Consider the following 9,387-nt stretch of genomic DNA (forward strand, 5'->3'; position numbering starts at 1 on the left):
ACAAGGTAGAAGAAATAGAGACAATAATGGGGAGAGGAAAGTATCAAAAAAGCCAAACGCAATTACTGTCATTAAAGAGACAAGATACAAGTATAAATTACTCTGAAGAAAAGAAACAAGAATGAACTTCTGGTAATTAAAAATAGAATACTTGAGTCTTCTGCTTCCAGGAAGATGAATTAGATGTGTTTTTTTTTCCCTACATCCCCCTTCTAACTACAACTAAATGTTCTGGATGTTATATATTTAATAAATGAAAGAGGACTCTGAAATGTGGAGAGAAGGCTGGCTGGTTAGGGAGCTGAAAACTCAAGGAAGAACACAGTGGTGAACTTCCTACATTTGCTTTGTCTCATGTATCTCAGACTAGGTGTTGAAGCTGGCAAACAGCAAATGTCAACAGGTGCAGAAAAATAAAGAGCCCCCCAAAATCTTTCTAGCCAAAGGGTGGGAAAGAGGGAGCTTAAGAAAACAGAAGATTTTTAGACAATAACTGCTCTGCTCCAGACAAACACCACAGAGAAACTGCAGTCCTTGCCAGCAAAGGCCACATGGAGCTCAGCCCTTCCCCTTCATCAGAATATAACAGAGTATTTCCAACCCCCATGGTGTCAGTGGTGAGCATGCCTGGAAGACTGGACTTCCGCCCCCATCCAGTGGTTATGAGGTACCCCTTCCTCTCTCTACTGGGGAAGTGTCATTGGAAGGCTGGTGGAGAGTGAAGGAATTTACCATCTCTTAGCAGAACCACACAATGAATGAGACATATTTAAAATCGAATGAGAAAAGACCATTTAACAAACTTCAACACTAAGATGAAATCGATGTTAAAGTTATCTGACAAAGATTAAAGTAGACAATAAAAATGTTTCCCATTGGCCATTTACAAACAGAAATGAGACAAATTAAAAAATAGGAAGTATCAGCAAAGAAGCAGAAAGTGCCAGGAAAAAAAATTACCCAACGGCAGAGTTACAATATACGTAAAACAAAAACTGAGGCAAATAACATCCCTCTTTCAACAATTGGTAGAACAATTAGAAAGACAGCACAATTATAGAATAATTTAACAATTCTGTCAGCCAATAGAATTTAATCCACATTATAGAACACTCCATCTAACAACAACAAAAAATACATTTTTGTCAAGCGCCCACTAACATACAGCAAGGTGTATCTATACATCTGGTAACATACACCAGATCATACCCCGGGCCATAAAACAAGCATTAACCAATTTTTTAAAAATTTAAAGCATACAGAGTATGTGCTATGAGTATAGGGAGATAAAACTAAAGATCAGTAACCAAAACATAACAGGAACATATCCAAACTAAACACTACACTTCTAAATAATCTATAGGTCAGGGAAGAATTCTAAAGGGTAACACAAGAGAAATCTTTGCGATAATGAAATAATTCTGTATATTGATTGTGGTGGCAATTTTACAAACCTACACATGTAATAAAATCACTTAGACCTACCTGCACACATTGCACAGATGCTAAACTCCTAGTTTAGATCTTGTACTTTAATTAGGTAAGATAGAAACATTGGAAAAATTAGGATAAATTGTGCTCAGATACCTGTGTACTATCTTTGTAACTTCTGTGAATCTATGCATATTTCAAAATAAATATTAAGAAAAATAGAATAGTGTCCTCACTTTCATTTTTAAGAGTTGTAACATAAAACTAAGGATGACTCTTGAAAAGAAGGGACAGAAAAATGGAAAGTGGGAAGAAAAGGATAAAAAATTATGGATCTATCTCAGAAATAAACATCCCATTTAGTAGGAATTATGGAAACATAGGGCATGAAAAACAGCTGGGAAGGAATCATTGATAAAATAACACTAAAAAATTCCCTGAACTTAAAGGTTCTAAAACTTAAACTCTTACAGATTCCCAGATATATTGAGTACTCACCATAATAATTTTTTTTAAAAAAGCAAGCTGTTAGATTATTGTAAACCATCAGAGAGTCAGATTACAAAAAGATAAACAGAGTTATCTGAAAATGACACTGGGGATTCAGATATCCTGAAGCGATAATGCTTTGTCTTCTTTAATTCTCTGGAGCAATTAAAATGTTGTAAATTATATTATCAGCAGACATAGATGGAAAATGAAGTCAAAGCTGTATTTCTGTATTGCTTTTCTTTTTTATGTAGTGGGTGAAGGTGAGACCTATTGTAGTATCCACAGATTTGTGTGGTGGATACATAGAATACCAATCACCCTTGGTATTCTATGAATATCGAAATAGGCCTCTTGCCTTTAGTACTATTTCCAATATCTTTTAGATCAGGTCATATATAATTCAGGAGCAAATATTTTTATGCATAGAGTAACCAAATATTTTTCTTTGCTTTTTTGGTCTGGCCTCATCTCTGTATTTTCTACATACATATGAGCATTTTAATTAATCACTACATTGCTGTCTTGATAATGACTTGAGAATATAACCTAACATGAAAGAGTGAAAGTGAAATTGAGAAGACAAGGTAAAAAGGAAAGGTTAAAAAATGTAAATAAATCTACTAGTTTAAATACAGAAATAAAAGCAGAAATTTTAAAAGCTGGGTTGGCACATGCTGGCCAATCCAGAAGAAATATAAATATTAAAATTTACCCTTAGAAAACAAAAGCACAACATTTCCAAGATTATGTGTGGCATATAAATACATAAAATACAGGATTTAATTTGTCTTTCTACAAATAAAAAGCTTCTTAAGTTCAAAGAATTAAAATCTGAATATTTACATGAAGAGCTAAATTTATATTCAACATTTATTGCCTAGGGTTCTGGTAATATTATTATGATACATACAATATATATGCATATAAAATTTGAATATACAGGATTTACACCACAGAAGATTACAATGCCAAAGAGGATTTCAGTATTTATGAAGCCAATAATTTCAGTTTAAAAGCTTGGTAAATATATTTATAGACACAATCAGGTTAGAATCTGTATTGCAAACAGCAGTTCCATGTGAAATAACCTAATAAACTTTAAATGTGGGAACATAATTTTACTTTCCATTATAATAATAGGTTAAACATCAGATTTAGGGAGGTTTTTAAAAACATATCAAGGAGGATTTTGTTTTTTAAATTGTGTTCAATGGATTGATAAATAATTCTAGAGGCCGTTAAATTTCATTACGATAATACAAATTTTGAAGACTTTTTTACACCACAAGGCAGTAAAATATTGGGCATATAAGTCATGCAGATATCAAGAACTAATTTAAGAATGAAGAACTGCCACTAGAAACATTTAATGCTTATACTAAGATTGTACAACAAGTTTCTATCAGAATTAAAAAGCAAAATTCTTGTTATCAAGAACATTGTTTAAGTAGAATTGCTCAGTTATTTTTTATAGCATCTGTGGTGGCAGAGAAAATGCATATATTCTTGAGCTTTATTTTCTTCATCTTTTGGACACTTGGCAAGATTGTATTTTCCACCTTTCCCTGTGATGACGTGAGACAGATGACTGAATTCTGAGAAATGAAATGTGGGTAGGTGATGCAAGCCATTGATAAGCTGTTCCCTAGCACTTCCCAAATATCTCTCCATGCCAACCGTGTGCCTCTCTCTGCAGATGGGGTGGCTGAACCCGCTATGGGAAATAGGTTTCCTGGATAACTGCAGCTCTGTTTCCTCCCACCTGCCATTCCTCTACACATATTTATGCTGATATGAACAAGAAATAAACCTTTTTCTCTTGTTTTTTGGTAGTTGGGCAATTATTTGTTATCCTATTAGCTTCACTTGTAACCATCTCATTTATTTTGTAACAAAAAATACTTAAAACATTTTAATATAACATGCATCACACTGACACCCACTAGGATGTCTATAAGCAAAAAGACAAATTATAGCAGGTATAGTCAGCACCATATAATTAACATGAACTGCATATTGTATGGTGGCCCCGTAAGATTACAAGGGAGTTGAACAATTTCTATTGCCTAGTGATGTTGCAGCCATCTTACTACAATAGTGCAAAGCATGCGTCACATGTTTGTGGGACTGTTGCTGCAATCAAAACTCCTGTGCTGCCAGTCATATAAAAGTCTATCACATAAAATTATGTAGGATATATGCTTGATAATGATAATAAATGACTATGTTACTGGCTTCTTTACTATACTTTTTAATCCTTATTTTAGAGTGTACTTATTCAACTTAAAAAAAAAAATAAGTTAACTGTAACATAGCCTCAGGCAGGTCCTTCGGGGTATTCCGGAAGAAGCCATTGTTATCATAGACGAGGACAGCTCCATCCGTGTTTTTGCCTTTGAAGACCTTCTAGTGGGACAAGATGTGGATGTGGAAGATGGTGATATTGATGATCCTCTCCTTGTGTAGGCCTGAGCTAATGTGTGTGTTTGTGTCTTAGTTTTTAACCAAAAAATTTAAAAAGTAAGAAAAAAAATGAACATAGGAAAAAGCTTATAGAATAAGACTATAAAGAAAGAAAATGGTTTTGTGCAGTTGTATATGTTTGTTTTAAGCTGTTATTATAAAAGAATCAAAAATTGTTTTAAAAAGTTTATAAAGTAAAAAATTTACAAGTTAAGATTAACAGATTATTACCAAATTTTAAAAAATGTTTAGCAATTGAGTGTAGCCTAAGTTTACAGTGTTTATAAAGTCTATGGTAGTATATATAATACCTTAGGCCTTCCCATTCACTCACCACTCACTCACTGACTCATCCAGGGCAACTTCCAGTTCTGCAAGCTCCATTCATGGTGAATGCCAGATACAGGTATATCATTTATTTTCTCTATCATATCTTTGATGTACCTTTTCTATGTCTAGACATATTTAGATACACAAATACTTACAATTGTGTTATAATTGCCTGCATTATCCAGTACAGTCATATGCTGTACAGGTCTTTAGCCTAGGAGCAGCAGGCTATACCACATAGCTTAAGTATGTAGTAGACTCCACCATCTAGATTTATGTAAATGCACTCTGTAATGTTCACACCATGATGAAATTGCCTAATGACGCATTCCTTAGAACATATCCTCATTGTTAAACAACACATAACTGTCCTGGCAAAGATGAGAAATTGGAATCCTCATGCATTGCTCCTGAGAATGGAAGCTGGGCCACCACATTGAAAACCAGCTTGGCAGTTCTTCAAAAAGTTCAACACTGAATTACCATATGATACTACAATCACACTGCTAGGTATATACCCAAAAGAAAAGAAAACATGCTGGTACAAATACTTATGCATGCATCTTTATAACAGCATTATTCATAATAGCCAACAAGTGGAAACAACTCAGATGTTGGAAAGAAAATATTTATCTATATGTGTGTGTGTGCACACGTGTGGTTGTCTTATTTCACTTAGCATAACATCCTCAAATTGCATCCACATTGCATTATATGACATGGTTTTCTTCTTTTTTAAATGAATGTTGTATTGATTTTATACCCAGAAGCTTTGCTAAACTCTCTTACAATTATGTTGGTGCAAAAGTAATTGCCATTACTTTTAATAGCAAAAACTGCAATTATTTTTGCACCAACCTAATTATTTTCTAATAATTGATCTTTAGATTCTCTTGGCTTTTCTTCAGAGCCAATTACATCAATCTGCAAATAACCAAAGTTATGCTTTTCCTTTTTAATCTGTATGTCTTTTACTTGTCTTACGTATTGCACTGGTAAGGACCTTTAGTAACTTGTTACGTAGAAGTGTTAGTGGATATTCCTGTCTTCTTTCTGATCTTAAAAGGAATACTTTCAATACTTCACCATTAAATATGGTATTTAATATACTTTTTAATTTTTTCAATTTATCTTTATCTTTGTGGATGCATAGTAGCCATATATATTTATGGAGTACATGAGATACATTGATACAGGCATACCATGTGTAATAATCACATCAGGATAAATGGGGGATTCATCACCTCAGGAATTTATATTTTCTTTTTGTTACAAACAACCCAATTATACTCTCTAAGTTATCTTTAAATGTACAATAAATTATTGTTAACTAGTAGTCACCCTGTTGTACTATCAAATAGTAGATCTTATTCATTCTGTCTAACTGTATTCTTGTACCTAGTAACCATCCCAAATTTCTCACCAACACTACCTTTCTCAGCCTCTGGTAACCATCCTTCTACTCTCTATCTCCACGAGTTCAATTGTTTCAATTTTTGGCTCACACAAATCAGAACATGCAAATTTTGTTTTTCCAGGCCTGGCTTATTTCACTTAACATAGTATCCTCCAGTTCCAGTCATGTTATTGCAAATGACAAGATCACATTATTTTTTATGCTTGAATAGTACTCCACAGTGTATATGTACCACATTTTTTTTATCCATTCATCTGTTGGTGGATACTTAGGTTGCTTCCAAACTTTGGCTATTGTGAATAGTGCTGTAATAAACATAGGAGTGCAGATATCTCTTTGATGTACTGATTTGCTTTCTTTTGGGTGTATACCTAGCAGTGGGATTGCTGGATCATATTACGGTAGTTCTATTTTTGGGTTTTGAGGAACCTCCAAACTGTCCTGCCTAGTGGCTGTATTAATTTACATTCCTACCAACAGTGTAGAAGGGTTTTCTTTTCTCTACATCCTTGCCAGGATTTGTATTGCCTGTCCTTTGAATAAAAGCCATTTTAACTGGGGTGAGAGATCTCACTATAGTTTTGATTTGCATTTCTCTGATGATCAATGATGTTGAACACCTTTTCATATACTGTTTGCCATTGGTATGTCTTCTTTTGAGGAACGTCTATTCAGATCTCTTGCCATTTTTTAATCAGACTATTAGATTTTTTTCCCTAGATAGTTTTTTGAGCTCCTTATATATTCTGGTTATTAACCCCTGTCAGATGGATAGTTTGCAAACAATTTCTCCCATTCTTTGGGTTGTCTCTTCACTTTGTCCATAGTTTCTTTTACTGTGTGGAAGCTTTTATTCTGTACTTTTTAAAGAAAGAAATCTTTGATCAGAAATCAGAAATAAATAAATTCCCTTTATTCTCAGTATTCTCAGTTTTATTTTAAAATTATAAAATAATTTTCAATTTTTTCAAATGCTTTTTCTGCATATATTGATGATTATTTAATTTTTCTTCTATGATTTGTTAATGAAATTAACTATGCAACTTTATGTTCCCATATTAAACCAAATTTAAACATGATACTGTTTACTTATATAACAAACCTGAACCTAAAATAAAAGTTAAAAAAAAAGTTGATTAAGCATTAACTATACAACTTTATGTTCTAATATGAAACCAAACTCATGTTCCTGGGATAAACTTAACTTGATCTCTCTCTATATATGTGTATATATTTCTGGATGTGAGGTACCTAGAGTAGTCAAATTCATAAAAACTTAAAGTAGAATGACAGTTTTCAGGGCATAGGGAGACAGGAAAACAGAGAGTTCTTATTTAATGGGTATAGAGTTTCAGATTTAAAAGATAAATTCTGGAGATGTATTGCCTAACAATTTGAATATTCTTTTTTCTCCAACGCCTGCTTGTTTACTTATTCAAACTATTATTTAGTAGTTACTAGTGATTGACACTGTTAACTCATGCTGTTTTTAAATAAAAACATATATGACATAAAAAATTAAATAATGTAGACTAATATGTAATTCCAAACAAATGCCTCTTTACATGTTTTATGATAAAGTACATATGGGTAAACTTTTGTTTAACTTTTATTTTAGGTTCAGGTTTTTTATATATGTAAACTGTGTCATGGTGGTTTGGTGTACAGATTATTAATATTTCATCACCGAGGTTGTAAGCATACTACCTGATGGGTTTTTTTCCTGATCCTCTTCCTCCTCCCACCTCCACCTTCAAGTAGGCCGCGGTGTCTGTTATTCCTCTCTCTGCGCCCACGTTCCTCACTGTTTAGCTGCCACTTATAAATGAGAACATGCAGTATTTGGTTTTCTGTTTCTCTGCTAATTCACTTAGGATAATGGCCTGGAGCTCCATCCATGTTGCTGTAAAGGACATAATCTTGTTCTTTTTATGGCTGCATGGCACATACACTGTATTCCATGGTGTATATGCACCACATGTTCTTTATCCAGGTACCATGGATGGGCATTTAGGTTGATTCCATGTCTTTGCTATTGTGAATAATACTGCAGTGAACATACAAGTGCATATATCTTTATGGTATAATTATTTATATTCTTTTGGGTGTATACCCAATAATGGAATTGCTGGGTCAAATGGTAATTCTGTTTTAAGTTCTATGAGGAATTCCTACATTGCTTTCTGCAATGGCTGGACTAATTTATACTCTTACCAGCAGTGTGTAAATATTCTCTTTTTGCCATAATCTCACCAGCATCTGTTATTTTTTGACTTTTTAGTAGCAGCCATTTTGACTGTTGTGAGATGTTATATTATTGTGGTTCTGATTTGCATTTTTCTAATGATTAGTGCTGTTGAACATTTTTTCATGTGTTTGTTGGCCACAAGTATGTCTTTTTTTGAAAAGTTTCTATTCATGTATTTTGCCTCAATGTGAATACACTTAACACTAATAAACTTAACTAAGGCTAAAATGGCAAATTTTATGTTATATGCTTTTTACCACAAAAAAATTTAAATATTAAAAAACTAAATTACATTTCTCTGCCAAATAAAAGAACATATTTTATAATTAAATTGTGATAGTTATACAACTAAGTTAACACACTAAAAGGCATTAAATTGCACACTTTAAATGAGTAAATTATATGGTATGAGAATTACATCTCAACAAAACTATTTTTAGAAAGGAGGGATAGCGAGAAGAAACATTGTCAACTAGCTAGATGATAGCTAGTCACTGGAATACATAGTATTGCAAAGCTCAAGTTATAGTCCCCATCTTAGACTTCAGAGAAATGTGCAAATCTGTTTTTTGGATCATTCTGCTCCCTGTGGCCACTTCAACATTGCTTCTGAAGCAAAGAAAAAGTGTCACAATGGATTTGACCTTATACTTTCTCTTCTTCTGACTTTAGTCTTCGCTAACCTCCCCCCACACACTGGCTCCCTGATCCTAGAAATGGAAAAGACAGCACCTTAACTCTCTCTCCTCCCTAATCGCTGGCAGTGGTTTATAGGAGCACATGCTTTACAACAGCTACTTATTACAGGAAAAGCACACACTTTGAAAGAAAAAAGACCTGGGTTCTAATCTTTGCTCATACTTTGATAGATGTATACACTGGCCAATTCCTATTTCTTTGTTTTATATATGTTTATATATGTTTCTTCTCTATATACATATGTGTATATATATGTATCTTTGTTTATATATATATATTTTATATAAAAGAAATACAACGAGGCTTA

This window comes from Homo sapiens, chromosome 10 (genome assembly GCF_000001405.40).
Source record: "Homo sapiens chromosome 10, GRCh38.p14 Primary Assembly".
NCBI classification, from domain to species: domain Eukaryota; kingdom Metazoa; phylum Chordata; class Mammalia; order Primates; family Hominidae; genus Homo; species Homo sapiens.